This window comes from Homo sapiens, chromosome 1 (genome assembly GCF_000001405.40).
Source record: "Homo sapiens chromosome 1, GRCh38.p14 Primary Assembly".
In the NCBI taxonomy this organism is placed as follows: domain Eukaryota; kingdom Metazoa; phylum Chordata; class Mammalia; order Primates; family Hominidae; genus Homo; species Homo sapiens.
In genome coordinates this window covers 143,406,664-143,426,621 of record NC_000001.11, presented here as the reverse complement: position 1 = coordinate 143,426,621, position 19,958 = coordinate 143,406,664, and the positions used below count along the sequence as shown (strand labels likewise).

Here is a 19,958-nt window from a genome sequence, read left to right as displayed (position 1 = left end):
ATCAAGAACTCAACCCCTTTTACAATAGCTGCAAAAACAAACAAACAAACAAACAAACAAAAAACTTAGGAATATACCTAGCAAAGGAATCAAAAGACCTCTACGATGAAAATTACAAAACACTGCTGAAAGAAATCATAGTTGGAGCCAAGCATGTTGGCACATGCGTATAATCCCAGCTACTCGGGAAGCTGAGGCAGGAGAATCGCTTGAACCTGGGAGGCAGAAGTTGTAGTGAGCCGAGATCACACCATTGCACTCCCACCTCAGCGACAAGAGCAAAACTCCCTCTGAAGAAAAAAAAAAAAAAGAAAGAAAGAAAAGAAATCATAGATGACACAAACAGATGGAAACGCATCCCCATGCTCGTGGATGGGTAGAACCAATATTGTGAAAATTACCATTCTGTTAAAGGCAATCTACAAATTCAATGCAATCCCCATCTGAATACCACCATCATTCTTCACAGAATTACAAAAACAATTCTAAAATTAATATGGAACCAAAAGAGAGCCATGTAGCCCAACCAAGGCTAAGCAAAAAGAACAAACCTGGAGGCATCACAGTACTTGATTTCAAACTGTACAATAAGGCCATAGCTACCAAAACAGCATGGTACTGGTTTAAAAATACGCACATAGACTAATGTAACAGAAGAGAGAACCCATAAATTAACCCAAATACTTACAGCCGACTGATCTTCGACAAAGTAAGCAAAAAATAAAGTGGGGAAAGGACACCCTTTTCAACATATGATGTTGGGATAATTGGCGAGCCATATGTAGGGGAATAAAACTGGATTCTCATCTCTCACCTTATACAAAAATCTACTCAAGATGGATTAAAAACTTAAACCTAATTCCTGAACTATAAAAATTCTAGAAGATAACACTGGATAAACCCTTCTAGACATTGGCATAGGCAAGGATTTCATGACCAAGAACCCAAATGCAAATGCAATAAAAACAAAGATAAATAGCTGGGACTTAATTAAACTAAATAGCTTTTGCATGGCAAAGGGAACAGTCAGTAGAGTAAATAGACAGCCAACAGAGTGGGACCCCTGACCCTGACCCCTAACCTTAACCCTAATCCCTAACCCTAACCCCTAACCACAACTCTCCCCCTCCCCCTAACCCAACCCTAACCCCTAATCCCTAACCCCCAACCTCTCTTAACCCCTAACTCTAAATGTTGACTCCTAACCCCTAACTCTGACCCCAACCCCTATCTCCAACCCCTAACCCTAAACTTAACCCCTAACACCAACCTTAAGCCTAGGTTCGTTACTACGTTTGTATTGACTATGTCAATGTTGATTATTATGATCGCTGTCTTAGGACTGCACGGCAGCGAGGGGATTGTGGATCTTATATTAATGTTTTTGTGTCGAGGCAGTGCATTAGCACTACAGGTGCTTGTTACATGAGCAAGGGGGGTGTCATATTTTGAGTGCCATGTCTGCATTAGGAATGCTGCATTTGTCTTCCGAGGCTGCGGTGTGGATCTCGCACTGCGGCCGCCTCACCTTGGCTGGGGAGAACCTCGGTGGGCAGGATTCAGAGGGGCTTTTGGTTTCCCGTTTTCCACACTGAACCCTTCTATCTGGTTTCTGACCCTGATTATTCAGGGCTGCAAACAGGAAGGATTTTATTCACCGTCGATGCGGCCCCGAGTTGTCCCAAAGCGAGGCAGTGCCCCCAAGGTCCGTGCTGAGGAGAACGCTGCTCTGCCTTCGCGGTGTCCCCCGGGTCTGTGCTGAGCAGAATGCAGCTCCGCCCTCGCGGTGCCCCCGGCCCGCCCGGGTCTGTGCCAAGGAGAACACTGCTCCGCCTTCGCTGTATCTCCGAAGTCTGTGCACAGGAGAACTCAGCTCCGCCCTCGCGATGCTCTCCGAGTCTGTGCTGAGCACAACGCAGCTCCGCCCTCGCAAAGGCACAGCGCGGGCGCAGGCGCCCAGAGGCGCACAGGAGACCTCAGGCCCAGACTCCACTCCCCAGCTGTGAAAGGGTAAGAATTGAGGGTGGCTGAGGCTCGGGGTTGTTCAGGGCGGGGTGGGCTCTGGACCCAGCAGGCCCGGCACCCAGGTCAGGGATCCAGGGGAGGCCAGGTGGGGCGAAGGCCAAGAAGGGGCCGGGGCTGGTCAGGAAGGGCTCCTGGTGACCAGAACACTTTGCGTGAGCCAGCGTGGGAGGAAGGTGGGCTGGATGAGCCAGGGAGGCGCCGGGAGGGGCCTTGGCAGAGGCGACCCCCTCCGTCAGCCCCCAGGCCACTGAACCCTGGGTAGCAAGAACCGGCAGGGGAGGCTGCAGACGGAGGAGTGGAGGCTCCTTGGCTTTGGGGGCTCTGAGCAGAAGCATCTAGGGGGTCCCTCAAGAGACCCCCAAATGCTGCCCCATGGTGAGAAAACAGGGAGAGGCCCTGCAGGGACCCCCCGGGGTTACAAAGGGCTGCCACTGTGAGAAGGCAACGCTGCTGGCTGGGGCTGGGCTTTCTACCTCACCAAGCCTCTTCCCACCCAAAGGGCCCAGAGAGGGGCAGCTGCCCCCCCAGCGGGCACAGCACCTCCTCCCTGTGTGATGGGGTGGGGTCCACAGTCTCCTTTCTCGCGGCCTGCCTGGGCTGACCCTGGGTCCCAGCTCGGCCATGGGGCTTCGGCATGTAAAGCCCTTGGGGGGCAGAGCCTCCCGCCCCCGCCAGCTTCTGGCTCTCTGTGTCGCCCCCAGCACTGGACTGGTGCCTTGGAGGGAGGCTCCGCCCTCCTCCACATCAACCCGCTGAGGAGTTCTGTCTTCCCAGGGTTGTGAGGGAAACCAGCTCTGCAGGCCTATGTCCAAGTCTAGGCACCGCCTCCTCCAGGGAGCCTTCCAGACCTGATCTGTGTGGCAGAGGCCCAGAAGGACCTGGGTGTGGGGATCCTAGAGGGAGGCGGGGGACCCAGCGTGAGGAGAGAGGGTCCCAGTGCTTCCTCCTGAGTGAGGGTCACCCATCTGACTCCGGCTGCACAGAGCCACTCCCTCTAAGCGCTCCTGCTCTCTGCCTTCCTGCATTAGCTCTTGCCTGTACCCGGCCCAGCAAACCCCTGCTCATCTTTCAGACCCAAGTTCAAGGCCCCCTCCCACTCCGGGTGGCTCATCACCTGGCCTCCCCAGGCAGAGAGGCTAGGCTCCTGCTCACTGGGGCGTCTCCCTTGCCCACTGGCACGGGACTACAAGGAAAGGGGTTGACCCCCACCCTCCCCCGCCATGCCCAGGAGGGTGCAGACACAACTGGGAAGGTGCTAGAGACCCCGGGGGGAGGCTGGGCCAGCACCAGGCATTGGGGGGCAGGTTCCCGTCTCTACACCCCAGCCCCAGGCGGACAGCGCATGCCCCTCCCGCTGCCCCACCTGTCACCCACCTGCTGGCCCCGGGCTGTCTCTGCTCCTGGCTCCCCTCCCAGCTGCGTCCCCAGCTGCCTCTCCAGGGAGGAGTGACAGCTGGCCTGTGCCACACCCTCGAGCTCCCCCGGACTACCCCCTCCCTGGGGCAGGACCCCTGCCTGTGGCACAACCAAGGGGCCTGCTGATGGGGGCTCATGTGAGCAGTGCCCCAGCTGTGGGTGTGGGTGCTGCCAGCTGCCACCGCCTTTGCCCTGGTTTCCCAGATAGACCCCGACCCACACTCCGAAGCTGTATCATGAACGCTGTGGTGGGCGGCTGGTGGGGAGCGGGGTTGCCGTCCCACTACCCTCTGGAAGCCTCAGCCATGAAGGGCCCCTGTGGGCACCTTTTCCCGGCACACGGTGCTGTGTTTCTCCACTCTTGGGCTCTGCAGTGACTTGAGGGGTCAAGTCTATGATCCCACGGGAGGCTGGGCTAATGAGGGGACCAGAGACCTCAGTGCTGTGCAGGGAGTCCTGAACCACCCTGGTGGAAGGCCCAGCCCAACTCCCCAGTCCTCCCGCCAGCTCCCTGTGGTGTCCAGGAGACCTGTGGTCAGGCCTGGAGGAGAAGCTCCTCCTCCCCTCGACATCCTCCCTGCAGCCCTTGCTCTTCACCAGAGCCTCCTGACTCCCCAGGACCCCAGAGAGGACTGACCCTCTCCAGCCGACCTCTGGGCTCAGGACAGCTGGGCGGGGCAGCCACAGGAGCTGCCTGTAGGGAGCAGAGTCAGGACGGGGACCGAGCCGGACACCCATTCTGGAAGTGTCTGCACTTCCAGGCAGGGGAAGGACGGCAGTGGGTAGCTGGGAGTGCTGGGCCGAAGATGGGCATTGTCAGGCCCTCAGTGGGGACTGGGAGGTAGAGGTGGGGAGGTCTGTGGAGGAAGGAGAAGAAGGGCCAGTGTCCCGAGTTGGGGGTGGTTGGCAGTGGACGAGGCCGACAGGAACAGACCTGAGCTTGGGGAGCTCCACTCAGAACGAGGCATCCTTCAGGGTTCTGTGCATACTGGTGTCCCTGGCTGGGGGCCGGGCCCCGAAGTGGAGCCTGGGACTGTGAGGGTGGTGGGGGTGTGCTGGGGTGGGAGGTGGATGGAGCCCCCCCCCCACCGCCTGGCCGCTTGGGCTGAACCTTGGACTTCGGAGCCGGAACAGACATAGGAAATGGCCTAACTGCATTTGCGCAGGAACACCAAATCCCTCGCAGCTGCACGGGGCTGAGCCAGGGCCACGGGCGGGGTCGGCCATCCCAGAGTCCTGACAGCTCCGTGGTGTATGCCAAGGGGCCTGGGCCGCTGACCGAGGGGCGCCTTTCCCAGGCCAGAGGCCCCCACCCCACCCCAGGAGAGCTGCCCCCCTTTCAGTTCCCAGAACGGAGCCCGGCTGTGGAATAGTGATGCGGTGAGGTCATGGGGAGGGGGCCCGCATGACTCATATCCTGGGGTAGGGGAAAGGGAGGAGACGGAGAAGGGGCCCAGAGGCCTCCACGTCCTCAGCTCTGCTGGGTCAGAGGCCAGGGGCTGGCGGGGCTTCTCCCCAGCACTGGGTTTTAGGGGAGACACCAGGAGATGCTTACTCTGCATCCCCACTCTGTCCCCCAGGCCCCTAGCCAGGGAGAGCTCAGTCAGAGTGATCCTCCAGGGGCCCAGCTCTGCATGGATGATGTTCCCAGAGTACACACCTGGGCCTCGTGCCAGGGCCGGCACCGCCATTGTCAGGGCTATGGCAAGGCAAACAGTCAATGTTTGCCTCACTAAAGTGAGGCTGCAGCACCCTGAAGGGATCCCTGGAGGGGGACGTGGTCCCCTTGTTCCCAAGCTTGTCTGCACATGCACGTGGATGTCAAGGGTTCCCGTGTGTGAGCACGTGCATATTTGTATGTGCATGGGGTGCGGGCATGTGTGCCTGTGTGGCCGGAGCGTGGGCTCGTGGAGAATGTGTGTGAGTTGGGTGTGCACCTGCATGTGCCCCAGGCCTAGGGAGTCCCGCGCCCGGCCGCACTCCATGTGTTGGGCATGAGCTGTGAGCAGAGTGAGGGCCTTTATGGGGCTGTTGGGGCCCGGACTCGTTGCCCTTAGGGGTGGACCTAAGGAAACGTGTGCACACGGGCTTCTGGGGTCTCTGTGCCAATGTGTGCTTCCAAGCCACGCCTCCCCTATGGCTTGGTGGAGGGGGTCTGTGGAGCTGGAGTGAGGGCCCTGGACCCATTGGAAGCCCAGGTCCAAGGAGGAGCTTGGGCTCCATCTCATGCCCCAGGCCCAAGGACACACACCCCAGCTGAGACCTTGCTCACATGGAGGGGCTGGGACATGGGAACATGGGGAGCAACATGGCCAGGCTTCTCCTCCATGGAAACCCTCCACCTCCTCAATACTCTGCCCCAGCTCTGCGCCGCCCTCCATTTGGAGGGGCTGGGTCGTGAGTGGGGGCGTGAGTGAGCATGAGGGCCCCTGCACCCCAGGCTCTGCCTCCCCACGTGGAACGAGGCCCAGCAGCCCCCAGCCAGGTGGCTACTACTGCATTCAATCAGTGCCCCTCCATCTAACAAATACTCCCTCATATAATCAGTACTCCTCCATCCAATCAATATTCCTTCATCAACACCTTTCTATACAACCAATAGTCCTCCATCTAATCAATGCTCCTCCATCCAACCAATACTCTGCAATTTAACCACTGTCCCTCCATCCATTCAATGTCCCTCCATCCATCCCATGGTCCCCCAGCCCTACCCCATGAGCAGCATGGAGGCAGACCCACATCTGTCTTGTGCGCCATCATCTCCCTGATGCTCTTCAGGAAAGGGAGGTGTCTCACAATTGCATTGAATGGAGGAAGGCACATCTTTCCAGTGATCCCCACTCTAGGGCTGCATTGGGAAATCGCTCCCAGGGAAAACACAAACACAAAGCAGAGGGTTGCCCAGTGTGACCCTCTGATGTGACCACGGTGGCTGTCCACTAAGGTAATCCTGATGCTTTTCCTCCTCTGCAGACTGCTGGCCAGACCCCCAAGCTAGCCCGCCAGGCCTCCATAGAGCTGCCCAGCATGGCTGCATCCAGTACCAAGAGTTGGTGGGAGACGGGTGAGGTACAGGCTCAGTCTGCGGCCAAGACTCCGTCCTGCAAGGTAAGGTCCCCTCCAGGGGCAAGGCTGGGCTGCAGAGCCAGCACTGGGGAGTTTAGTAGCAGGCCAGGTTTCCTTGTTAAGACAAGCGTGGGACTGTCCAGGATGAATGTGGGCAGACAGAACCCTGAGGTATTGCAGTAGGGTTGGGTTCACCCTTGCTGGTGTAGAAGGCTGTGTTGTCCGAGTGGAGGTGGATGGCACCTTTATTCCTTTCCCTGCTTCTTCCACTGGGATCGCACAGAAAAAGTTTTGGTAGGCAGATCCCAGGCCCCCTGGCCAGGTAAGGCAAGGCAGGAGAGAAGGGCCCAGGGCTTCTACTCCCCAAGATCCAGGGGTCTGCCCTTGTGACATACCCTTCTGCTGCCCCCGGGATATTGTGGCTGGAGACATGAGCAAGAAAAGCCTCTGGGAGCAGAAGGGAGGCTCCAAGACCTCATCAACAATTAAGGTAGAGCCTAAATGTGGTTGGTGCAGGCAGGAAATATTAACTTATTTCATTGTCACACGAAACCAGAAGACATAAAACAGTTAAAATAGGCCAGGCACAGTGGCTCACACCTGTAATCCCAGCACTTTGGGAGGCCGAGGCGGGTGGATCACGAGGTCAGGAGGAGACCATCCTGGCCAACGTGGTGAAACTTGGTCTATACTAAAAATACAAAAAAAAAAAAAAAAAAAATTAGCCGAGCGCAGGGGCACATGCCTGTAATTCCAGCTACTTGGGAGGCTGAGGCAGGAGAATCACTTGAACCAGCAAGTTGGAGGTTGCAGTGAGCCGAGCTCGCACCCTGCACTCCAGCCTGGCGACAGAGGGAGACTCAGTCTCAAAAAACAAACACACAAGCAAATAAAAAAAACAAAACAACTTGACACACTTAGAAAATGAAGGTTTGTGCTATTGGTTTTCTTTTATTTTAGAAAAACAAAGCATTGTTTAAATATTTCTTACAAGTACAAATATAATTTAAATTTAATAAATGTTCAAAAATATCTGTAATTAAGTTTCATTCAGCAGACATATGTCTAATAGAGAACTTGCTAAGTAAGATATAAAGGATGATTACATGAAAAAATCACAAAATTGTCAGTAAGAGTCTTAAAAGTCAGTGATAGGACAGTAGTTAAAAGATATCAAATAGTTATTTATTCTTAAACATTAAACAGGATATTAATAGTTTTAATAATCTTGAAGTTTGACAACACTGTGAAAACATTACAGACCACTTTTATTTATGAAAATACGTGCAAATAGCAAACACCAGTTGGGCTTAAGGCTGCTACTTACTTACCCAGTAAGTGACAAAGCTGGAATTCAAACCAGGTTTGAGCTATACCACTACTACCCTTGAAAAGGTTTCATTACACTCAGCTTTCCTTAATTTCTTAAACTCTTTTTTTTTTTTTTGATTGAGACAGAATCTTGCTCTATTGCCCAGGCGGGAGTGCAGTGACATGATCTTGGCTCACTGCAACCTCTGCCTCCCAGATTCAAGCAATTCTCATGCCTCAGCCTCCCAAGAAGCTGTGATTACCCGTGTGCGTCACCACACCTGGCTAATTTTTGTGCTTTTAGCAGAGGTGGTGTTTTGCCATGTCAGCGAGGCTGATCTTGAACTCCTGACCTCAGGTGATCCGATCCGCCCGCCTCGGCCTCCCAAAATGCTGATATTACTGGTGTGAGCCACCACTCCTGGCCAATTTCTTAAACTTTTGATTATACTAAATATGGTCCTTCTGCGTGATAACACTGTTTTTCCTTTTATAAAATTAATCTCTTAAAATACTTTAAAATTCAAAGTACACTTTTTAGATTCTTTAAAATACTCTTTGCCATGTTCATGGCCTTTAGATGTGTGATCATAGCCTATTTGCTTTTCATTGACTTAGTTTCATATTTCTTTGCCTTTTTCCCCCTACTTTTCCTTATAGAACTATTTACTAGTAATGAAATCATTTTAAAGAATACACTTTTTATTCCACCTGCTAACTGTTAAGAGAATGTTTTATAATCACTCTGGTCATGGCCTGTAAGTTTCTTTTCTAAACTATCTTTTCAGGATACATATTTACTAACTTGCTTTCAAATGAATATGGTCATGTCTATGCAGCAAGTTTCTTTTCTTTCTTCTTTTCTTCTTCTCTTTTTTCTTTTTCTTTTCTTTCTTTTTTAAGGCAAGATTTCGCTCTGTAGCCCAGGTTGAAGTGCAGTTGTAGAAACATGACTCACTGTAGCCTCAACCTCTCTGGCTCAAGTGATCTGCCCACTTCAGCCTCCCAGCCAAGTAGCTGGGACTGCAGGTGTGCACCACCCTGCTCCACTAAGTTATTTAGTTTTTTGTAGACATGGATTCTCAGTGTGTTGCCCAGGCTAGTCTTGAACTCCTGGGCTCAAGCCATCTTCCTGCCTTGACCTCCCAAAGTGATAAGATTACAGGCTTGAGACATTATGCCCAACCTCTTTTTCTTTTTCTTTCTTTCTTTCTTTTTTTTTTTTTTTTGAGACAGTCTTGCTCTTGTTGCCCAGGCTGGAGTGCAGTGGCATGATCTTGGCTCACCGCAACCTCCACTTCCCGGGTTCATGCGATTCTCCTGCCTCAGCCTCCCGAGTAGCTGGGATTACAGGCATGCACCACCACACCCAGCTGATTTTGTATTTTTTAGTAGAGACAGGGTTTCTCCATGTTGGTCAGCCTGGTCTTGAACTCCCGACCTCAGGTGATCTGCCCGCCTTGGCCTCCCAAAGTGCTGGGATTACAGGTGTGAGCCACCATTCCTGGCCCTCTTTTTCTTTTTAACTGAGCTTATTTATCTCTTCCCCAGCTTGAGTCTGGGTCCTACTGTCTTGGTCAGAGTATTTTACTATATTGACCTGGACAATTCTGCCATCATGAACCATATTCCAAACCTAAATATGTAAGAACATAGAAAGATTATTTTAGCAGGAGAATTTTAACACACACACACACTTTATTCTGAAAATTTAGCAACAAAATGAAAGGTGAGTTGTGGTAGTTGATGTATCAACAAATAGAAAGAAGAAAGCCTGTAATCTGTTTCAGAATGCTATTTCTGGGGCTGGTAACATCAAAAATAATCAAATTAAGTGTTAACTTGCTGACTCGTAAGATTTTCTCTAATTTAGAAGTTGGAGAACATATATACTCCTATTACCACTTTCCATCTTTCTCAAATATAGTTTTTATAGTTTTCTGTTGGCTTCATCATCGTATTGAAAGATTATTAATCACTTACATATATGTAGTTTTCTGTTAAGTCCTGTTCAATATATTACAAAATTTTGATCTGTGTATGTAATATCAATTAATAAGATGGTGTTAGTTAAATCAGATTACGTGTTCATTCATTAAGTCATTGTTAATACTTCACAGAATATAAATCGTGTTCCATGAGCATGAATTTCTCTCTGAATTCCACATAATTGTCTTAAAATTATGCACCATTTATTGTTAAGAGTGAAAGATTATGTGTCATTTATTGTAGTGGTAGAAGAAAATAAAACCAAAACAGAATCCAATCCAAAAGCTTAGGTTTTTGTTGCTACTACAGTAATTACATCTTCATATACGAAGGACAGCACATTATTACTGTCCAAGAATGGTGCCTCGGACAACTGGTTGCTTACACTGTTTTCAGAGATGAAATAGGAACATAAGCAGGAAGATTTTTGTCTAAATATGAAGCAAGAAAGGCTTAAATGTCTTTATTCAGGGGATTAGGCATCATAAGTTTTTTTTTTTTTAGAGAAATTGTTTTCATGATATTTCCTATCTCCTTTTGTCACTTTGCTTTTGTCGGTAAATTTTACAACTAAATAAGGATTACCAGGCATAAAAAGCAGCAGACAATCATGATGCAAACTGAAAATAATCAATCAAAACTGACCCAGAACTTAAATAGATGTTAAAATTAGCAGAGGAGGACATTAAAACTGTTTTTATACATGTATCTCATATAATCAAAACATTAAATAGAGACATGGGAGATAAACAAGAAAAGCCAAAATCAAACTTTCAAAGACAAAAACATTTGAGATGAAAATTACATTGGATGAACTAAGGCAGATTAGAAACTGCAGAAGAAAAGATTAGCAAACTTGAAGATACAAGAACAGACACTAGCTAAAGTACAAAAAGAAAAAAAAATGTTAAAAAGTGATTTTTAAAAAGCATCAGTGAGCAGTCAGGCAACTTCAAATGGCCTAATAATATGCAGGTAACTGGAGTCCCCAAAGGAGAAAAAAAAGAAAGAGAAAAAAAATACTTGAAGAAACAACTGCTGAAAATGTTCTAGCCATAACAAGACCTATTAACTCACGGATCCAAGAAACTCAGCAAACCCCAAGCACAAGAAACATGAAGAAAATTACACTAAGGGATAACATAATCAAATTGTTCAAAATCAAGGAAACATTATTAATAGCAGGTGTATAAAAAGACATGTTACCTATAGAAGAACAAAGATAAGAACAACATCAGATTTCTTTTGAGAAACAATGCAAGTGAGAAGACAGCAGTACATCTCTAAAGTTCTAGAAGAAAAAAGGCCAACTAGAATTCTATGCCTAGCAAAAATATCTTTCAAAAATGAAGGTGAAATAAAGACACACCAGAAACATAAATAATGAAATAATTCATCACCAGGAGACCTTCACTGCAAGAAATGTTAAAGGATATTCTTCAGAAACAAAATGATGTCAGATGAAAATCTGGACCAATACGAAGGAATAAAGAGCACCAAAGTGGTAACTATATGAGCAAACATCTTTTAAATTTTTTATTATTTAAATCTCTAAGAGATACATGTTTAATAAAAAAACAGCAAAATGTTACAGAGTTTATAACATATGTAAAAGTCAAATGCATGGCAGCAATAGCACAAAGTGCAGGAGGGAGGAAAAGAAAGTAAATGAAGGAATGCTTTTATTATAGATGAAGTGTACAATATTACTTGACCTCTCTAAATGTGCACTATAATCTTAAAGGAACCACAAAAATAATTTTTAAAAATAAGTAAAAGTATTAAAAAGAGGCAAACTGGAATCATAATAAATAATGTAAGCTGGGCACGGTGGCTCACGCCTGTAATCCCAGCACTTTGGGAGGCCAGGGTAAGCGGATCACAAAGTCAGGAGATCGAGACCATCTTGGCCAACATGGTGAAACCCCGTCTCTACTAAAAATACAAAAATTAGCTGGGTGTGGTGGTGCACACCTGTAATCCCAGCTACTCAGGAGACTGAGGCAGGAGAATCGCTTGAACCCAGGAGGCGGAGACTCTAGTGAACCAAGATAGCGCCACTGCACTCCAGCCTGGCAACAGAGCGAGACTCTCTCTCTCAAAAAAAAAAAATAAATAAATAAAGTAAAAGCATGCAAGAAGACCAGGTGCAATGGCTCACACCTGTAATCCCAGCACTCTGGGTGGCCAAGGCAGGAGACTCACTTGAGCTCAGGAGTATGAGACCAGCCTGGACAACATAGTGAGACCCCATATATAAAAAAATAAAGTAGCCGGGTATGATGGTGCACAACTGTGGTCTCCACTATTGGGAGGCTGAGGTAGATCACTTGAGCCTAGCAGGTCAAGGCTGCAGTAAGGTATGATCACACCACTGCACTCTAGCTTGGGTGACAGAGCAAGACCCCATCTTGGCAGGTGGGGGATGCAAGAAAAATGCAAGGAACAGATAGAGATAAATAGAAAACATAAGAAGACAATCATATTAAATGTACATGGTCTAAATACCCCCAATTAAAAAGCAGAGGTTTTAGACCATATACATTTAATGTGATTGTCTTCTTATATGTTTTTATCAGAGAAATAAAACTATCGCCTTCAAGAAACACAAGTTAAATACAAAGATGCAAACAGGTTAAAATAAAAGAATGGAATAATATATACCATGCTTACGCTAGTCAAGAGAAAGCTAGAGTAGAAATACTAATATCAGGCAAAGCATATTTCAGAGTTAAACACAACATTTTTCCACTATTTGCAGTCAAAAGTATCGTTAACACTCTCTTTACTCTGCTCAAAGTTACAGAGTTCTTTTGTATAAACATTAGAACACTTATCACAGCCTGCCTATAATGGAGAATAATTCCATGTTGTATACTATACAACACTCTTACTAAAGTCCATTAGACAGAAATATGTAGCATTTGAGACATCTTCCAATTATAAAACTCTATGCAAACAAAAATTAACAAAGCAGATCTGAGACTATTATATTATCCTGTGAAGGAGGGTCTGTCTGTCTGCACAGTTGGTCCTAGGCTGGCTTCTGAGGACTTGAATTTCAAGAGGGTTCCATAACTGGTAATCATGGTTTACTGTATCTAGACTATGGAAATAATGTGGCTTATCCTGCTATTCTTTTTGTGAGTCTGGAAATTTCACACATGCTAGGCAGAGTACACATATGTGACCCAGCCGAGATAAAACCTGTGTTTCTTGGGAAGTCACATAGGTTGTTGTATTTTCATTAAGGGGGAAAGAAGGTAGTCTGTGTGATCCTCATGGAAGGCACAGCACATAAGGAAGCCGGTACATGGATTTTTCCAGACTCTGTCAGTGTCTTTTGCCATTGAGTTCTTTCTACTATATATCCATACTATGTTACAGTAATAAATCTTAGCCATTACAACCCTAAGCTGATCCCATGAGTCCTTATAGCAAATCTCCAAACATGGAGGCAGTCTTGTGGATCCCTGACACAAATATAGTGTTGTGATCTCTTAAGGTTTATCCTTCCTCTTAAACTATAAAGAGCTGGCTGGGCACAGTGGCTCACGCTTGTAATGCCAGCACTTTGGGAGGCCGAGGCGGGTGGATCACGAGGTCAAAAGATTGAGACCATCCTAGTCAACATGGCGAAACCCCGTCTCTACTAAAACTACAAAAATTAGCAGGGCGTGGTGGCACACGTCTGTAGTCCCAGCTACTCGGGAGGCTGAGGCAGGAGAGTCGCTTGAACCAGGGAGGCAGAGGTTGCAGTAAGCCGAGATCGCACCACTGCACTCCAGCCTGGTGACAGAGGGAAACTTCATCTCAAAAAAAAGAAAGAAACTATAAAGGGCTGGGTGCAGTGGCTCACGCCTATAATACTAGCACCTTGGCAGGCCCAGGTGGGAGAATTGCTTGGGCCCAGGAATTGAGACCAACCTGGACAACAGAGCAAGACCCTGTCTCTTAAAAAAAAAAAAAAAGAAAAGTTGGCCGGGTGTGATGGATCACACTTGTAGTCCCAACACTTTGGGAGGCCGAGGTGGGCAAATCACAAGGTCAAGAGTTCGAGACCAGCCAGGCCAACATGGTGAAACCCCATCTCTATCAAAAAAAATACAAAAAATTCACTGGGCATGGTGGTGGGCACCTGTAATCCCAGCTACTTGGAAGGTTGAGGCAGGAGAATCACTTGAACCTGGGAGGCAGAGGTTGCAGTGAGCTGAGATCACGCCACTGCATTCCAGCCCGGTGATAGTGTGAGACTCCATCTCAAAAAAATAAAAAAGAAAAGAAAAGAAAAGTTAGCCAGGTATGGTGGCATGCATTTGTGATCCCAGCTACTCTAGAGGCTGAGACAGGAGGACTGCTTGAGCCTAAGAAGTCAAGGTTGCAGTAAGCCATGATCATGCTACTGCATTCCAGCTTAAACAACTGAGATGCTATCTCTTAAAAACAGAAGTAGAAGCAAACAACTATAGGGGAAAATGAGGGATACATACTTTAAGAATTTTTAAAAATTTACATGGAAAAACACCAGGATTCTATAGAAAATAAAACAGTATTAAATAACATTATTTATAAAATAGATACTAGCAAATTACCTTACGTAAAGATTCAAGTCAGTAACTTAAAGGATCTTACATAAAAGTACTTTCCGTTGGTTGGAAGAGAGATTTTTACTATACACTGTTTTTCAATTTTTTTAGACAAATTACATTTAAAAGTTTAAATTTGCTTATCTACATTCTTAATGTGAATTGCCACCTTACTATAGGAAGGCTATTTTTGTTCCTGCAGTCTACAAAAAGAACAAAAATATTAAAAACGTACAACTCTTCTCACAGAACTAAGTTGGTTTTATACAAAGACATTTGGCACAAAATACAATGATATTTCAATATAGAATTACAGCAGGGGATGAGGGTGGAGAAGGAAGAGATTGCCAGTTCTAAGAGGGGAGACAACAGAAGTATTTTTTTAATGTCTTATTTTAAGAGTAAAACACCTGCTTTTTTTTGAGATGGAGTTTTAGGCGGGAGTGCAGTGGAACGATCTCGGCTCACTGCAATCTCTGCCTCCAGGATTCAAGTGATTCTCCTGCCTCAGCCTCTTGAGTAGCTGGGATTACGGGCACACGTCACCACGCCAAGCTAATTTTTGTATTTTTAGTAGAGAGGGGGTTTCACCACATTGGCCAGGCTGGTTTCAAACTCCTGACCTCAGCCTCAGCCTCCCAAAGTGCTAGGATTACAGGCATGAGCCACCATGCCCAGCCAACACTGAACATTTTGTTCAGAACTAGTTAAGAAAACAGAAATATACATTGGGGGTTTATGGATTACTTATTTTTGGGGTGCAATACTGGGAATAGAAGAGAAAGGAGCTTCCTTTCCCTCTCCTTCTTTCATTCATTCATTCATTTTGAGAAGAAGTCCTGCTCTGTTGCCCAGGATGGAGTGCAGTGGCGAAAACTCAGCTCACTGCAACCTCCACCTCCTGGGTTCAAGCAATTCTCCTGCCTCAGCCTCCCAAGTAGCTGAGATTACAGGCACGCACCACCACACACAGTTAATTTTTATACTTTTTTAGTAGAGACAGGGTTTTGCCATTTTGGCTAGGCTGGTCTCCAACTCCTGACCTCAGGTGATCCACCTGCCTCAGCCTCCCAAAGTGCTGGGATTACAGGCATGAGCCACCGCACCTGGCCAAGAAAGGAGCTTTAGATAAATAAAATGATTAAACATTTGTAGCATGTAGAATGAAACTATTCCCTTAGTAATACTCAAATTATCCAGATTTCCAAGATGTTGGTAGCACCCCGAGAGCTTCAAAAGGGAAATTAAAAGAAAAACGACGTTACCCTTCCTGAAACACAGATTCACTGTTTGCCATATTCTTTTCTCTAGTAAAAGATGAATAGTTTCCCCTGGAAAAACTAAAAACAATCTGAGGTATATTTCAGAGAAAACAAAATTGCTTGATAAAAATGCCATGTTAACAACTGAGGAAATTGTTTTACATATATTAATTTTAACACAGGAATAATATGTCAAACCAGGATTTCTCAACCTCAGCACTATCGACATTTTAAGCTGTATAGTTTTTGGTGTGGGAGGCTGTCCTGTATATTGTAGAATGTTTAGTGGCAGCCCTGGCCTCTACCCAAGAGGCCAGTAGGACCTACCTCCTCATTCAAGCTAATGCACTAAATTTTTCCCTTCATTGACAAATCCCATTAATGCGTGTATTTATCCCATTAGTTACTCTCTTGTGTTCCAGGTACTTTGTTAGGCACCAGAGAAAATATGATAAAGCAAAACAGCTATTTTCCTCACTCTCATGGTGCTTACAGCCATGGTGGGAAAAATCCATAGGAAAAGACTCACATACACAAATGCAGGCAGAATAAAAAAACTCACACAAACAAACGTTGCAGATGTTGTTAAGTTACATAAAGGAGATATGCATGGCTGTGCATGGTGGCTCGTGCCTGTAATCTTAGCACTTGGGGAGGCCAAGGCAGGTGGATCACTTGAGGCCAGGAGCTCAAGACCAGCCTGGCCAACATGGCGAAACCCTGTCTCTACTAAAAATACAAAAATTAGCCAGGCATGGTGGTCCATGCCTATGATCTCAGCTACTTGGGAGACTGAGGTGGGAGGATCACTTGGGCCCAGGAGGCAGAGGGTACAGTGAACTGAGATTGCACCACTGCAATCTCAGCCTAGGAGACAGAGAGAGACGTCTCCTGTTCTCCTGGAGAACAACAAGTCATGATGTCAGACAAGAACTTGGATTTTGGAGACACGGGTTTGAATTTCAGTCATTCATTCTTTTATTCAGTAAATATTTAGCAAGTACTGACATGTCCCAGATGTTGTTTTACTCACTGGTTATACAATGGGAGGGAGACAGAGAAAGAGAGAGAGAGAGAGAGAGACGCTATTCTAAAAGCTTGAAGTCTAGGCTGTGCAGAGTGGCTCATGCCTATAATCGCAGCACTCTGGGAGGCTGAGGCGGGTGGATCATGAGGTCAGGAGATTGAGATCATCCCGGCTAACACAGTGAAACTCCCTCTCTACAAAAATACAAAAAATTAGCTGAGCATGGTGGCAGGCGCCTATAGTCCCAGCTACTTTGGAGGCTGAGGCAGGAGAATGGTGTGAACCCAGGAAGCGGAGCTTGCAGTGAGCCAAGATCACACCACCGCACTCCAGGCTGGGCGACAGAGCCAGACTCCATCTCAAAAAAAAAAAAAAAAATGCGTAAAGTCTAGATAGACTTTAACCCAGGAATAATCCAAGGAAATGAACAATTACGAATGTGACAAGGGCTGTGAAGGGAAAGTTCACAGCCTTATCGAAGTGTACAGTAGTTGGGGAGGTTGGCCAAGGCAAGATGTTTAGGAAAGGCTTTCCTGGGGAAATTTCTCTTTGGGTTGAATCACAGTTAAGTAGGCAAAGGGGAAGACAGAGGGAAGGGAAGTATGGCAGGCAGGAAGAATAGGCACTTAATAGCTTTGGGATATTGGGCAGGTCGCTTGATCTTTCTGAGCTTCAGTTTTCTCATCTGGGAAATGAGTTAATAATAGTCGTTTAGAAAGTGTGATGAGACCAGCCAGGTGTGATGGCTCAGGCCTGTAATCCCAGCACTTTGGGAGGCCGAGGCAGGTAGATCATGAAGTCAGGAGATTGAGACCATCCTCGCCAACATGGTGAAACTCTGTCTCTACTAAAAATACAAAAATTACCCAGGCATGGTGGCGTGTGGGAGGCAGAGGTTGCAGTGAGCCAAGATGGCACCACTGCACTCCAGCCTGGGTGACAGAGCGAGACTCCACCTCAGAAAAAAAAAAAAAGGAAGAAACTGTGATGAGATCAAAACAGTTAATGCATGAGTGTTCTGAACCTCGTTTCTCCCTCTGCTGTATCTATGCAGTTTCTTGACCTGGGCTGTGCTCCAAAGAGGATTCTAGCTTGGCTTTTGTGATAGAGGATGGATACATTATTAGACCTGAAAAGCCAGAGCAGGGAGGAATGGTCCCAAAAGGAAGAAACTGTGCTTGTCTTCACAATAAAGAGCAGAGAAGTGGGAGAGGTATTGAAAGCTGTGGGTGGAGTTTTGCAGGTAAGATTGTGTGAAAGAGGTGAGGGAACTACAATCTAGGGGAATGTGGATAGGAGAGTAAAAGGGAATTCTAGAGAACAATCCCTACTGACTTCACACAACTTAAGAAATGCAAGTAAAGGGCCGGGCACGGTGACCCACACCTGTAATCCCAGTACTTTGGGAGGCAGAGGCAGGTGGATCACTTGAAGTCAGGAGTTCAAGAAGAGCCTGGCCAACATGGTGAAACCGCATCTGGGTTAGCCAGGCATGGTGGCATGTGTCTGTAATCCCAGCTACAGAAAGATAGAGAGGTGGCTGAGGCAGGAGAATTACTCAAACCCAGGAGTTGGAGGTTGCAGTGAGCCGAGATCACACCACTGCACTCCAGTCTGCTGGACAACAGAGCAAGACTCAGGGGGTGGGGTGGGGGAAGGAAAGAAGGAAGGAAGGAAGGAAGAAAGGAAGGAAGGAAAATAGAAATAGAAATGCAAGTAAAGAATTTCAGTTTGAAAATTGCCTTTTGTCTACTGAACATGAGACTGCTTGGAAACTGGGCAACGTGGATTTTTATAAGTTGTACAAAGCACTTAGCAATTTTCAAACCTCTCCATCCTGCAGAGCCAGCTCAATCACTTCTCCAGAAAGACTTACTGAGTCCTCTGCACTGAACAGGTGTCCTGTGCTCCAGGAGAGCCCTGGGCTGGCTCCTAGTGTAGCCATTATGACCCTGGAATGCACCATCTTTCACATCACTGCCTGGCCTTCTAGAATCTCAGCTTCTTAAATCAAGAAATTGTGTCTTGTTCATGTCTGAATTCCCCAAGTGAACACAGTGAGTGGGTGCTTGACAAATCTTTGTTGGTAATGAGCAAAAAAGGGGATTCTGTGCCCAATACCATGAAATCAATGCACAGAAGATTCAATCAATCAAGAAAGGTGCACAGACGCTGGCCACACACACTGACATTTGTTTTCAGATGTTCCAGTCCCCCTGACTTCCACCAACCCATTCATTCATTCCACAAGCATTTTTGCTGGGGTGGAAGCAGGGCCATACAGGGTGTGTAAGTAACAGATAGGGTGGGTTTGTATAATGAGTATAAAAAACTTCTAGCAGAAGATGACAAAGTATATCAAGAAAGGGCTCTCTTCGAAATCACACCACTGCACTCCAGCCTGGGTAACAGAGGGAGATTCCATCTAAAAAAAAAAAAAAAAAAAAAAAAAAAAACAGGGATGGGGGCAAGGGAGCTCTTTTTTTCCAGTTAGCACAAGATTGCCATTTCAGCTAGGGATTCTGCTGCAACTATCTCCCAGACCCTATTCTAGGGCCCGGGGATAGAAACAGAATCAAAAACATATTCCTTGTCTTTTTTGGGCTTATATTATTGAGGAGAGAGAAATAAACAATTTCAAAATAAACAATGTCATACAGTGCTAAGTGCTATAAATAAAATCAAACAGAATAACGAAAGAGAAAGTAGCTAGACTGGAGGGAAAAGCTGCTTCAGAATGAGTTGTCAAGGAAGCCTCTTTGCAATCAGAAAGGTGAGAAGGATTTAGTCAGGCAAATATCAGGAGTAAATTATTCTTGGAGGAAAGTAAGCCCATGCAAAGGCCCTGGGGCAGAGTGGGCTTATTTGATAAAGAGGTAAAAGGGTCAGGATATCTGTAGCAATAGTGGCCAAGGGAGGGAGAGGTATGAGACAGAGGAGGTGAGCCCTGTTGCCATGGTGAGGGCATGAGGATTTATTCTAAGTTCCAGATACCTGGAGTTAAAGTCCCCTGAACTGGACAACAACTACAAGCCTTCATATCTCAATGCTACCATCTTTAAGCCCCTGTTATAAGAGCTCAGAGGCTTCAGAGATGACAGGAAACACCAGAACGCTATGGTGGAGCATATCTAGGTGCCTTCTCCCAACTCAGATCCTTTGACTATAGAAAGACACAGATTTCAAGGCTGAGATCCACAAAACTCTAGCAAATACTGCACAGACACTGACCAATGACAGCAGGTGCTGCCTGTCACCCTGGAGCACCAGGCAGGG

General features: G+C 46.8%; 2 long non-coding RNA genes across 5 annotated transcripts in view, besides 1 other annotated feature; both read left to right on the top strand.

The window, feature by feature from the left end:
* The first annotated feature begins 1,859 nt into the window (after positions 1-1,859).
* The window catches only part of LOC107985200 (uncharacterized), a 42,281-nt gene continuing 24,182 nt past the window's right edge, over positions 1,860-19,958 (top strand). The window contains exons 1-2 of one of the 4 annotated variants that reach the window (XR_001738208.2): positions 1,860-2,010; positions 6,415-6,549. This is a non-coding gene — a long non-coding RNA (uncharacterized LOC107985200). The remainder of the gene's footprint in view (positions 2,011-6,414; positions 6,550-19,958) is intronic. The other 3 variants (XR_007066536.1, XR_007066535.1, XR_001738207.2) reach the window with 3 other exon arrangements.
* Positions 3,714-4,008: a silencer, noted in NCBI's record as "tiled region #154 duplicate 1; K562 Repressive non-DNase unmatched - State 20:ReprD". NCBI's record gives its function as "represses a minimal TATA promoter and a strong SV40 promoter by Sharpr-MPRA in K562 cells {active_cell/tissue: K562}" and the evidence as "EXISTENCE:reporter gene assay evidence [ECO:0000049][PMID:27701403]".
* Positions 6,919-19,358, top strand: LOC107985201 (uncharacterized). Its single transcript, XR_001738209.2, has 2 exons — positions 6,919-6,997; positions 18,526-19,358. It is a non-coding gene; the product is annotated as an uncharacterized LOC107985201 (long non-coding RNA).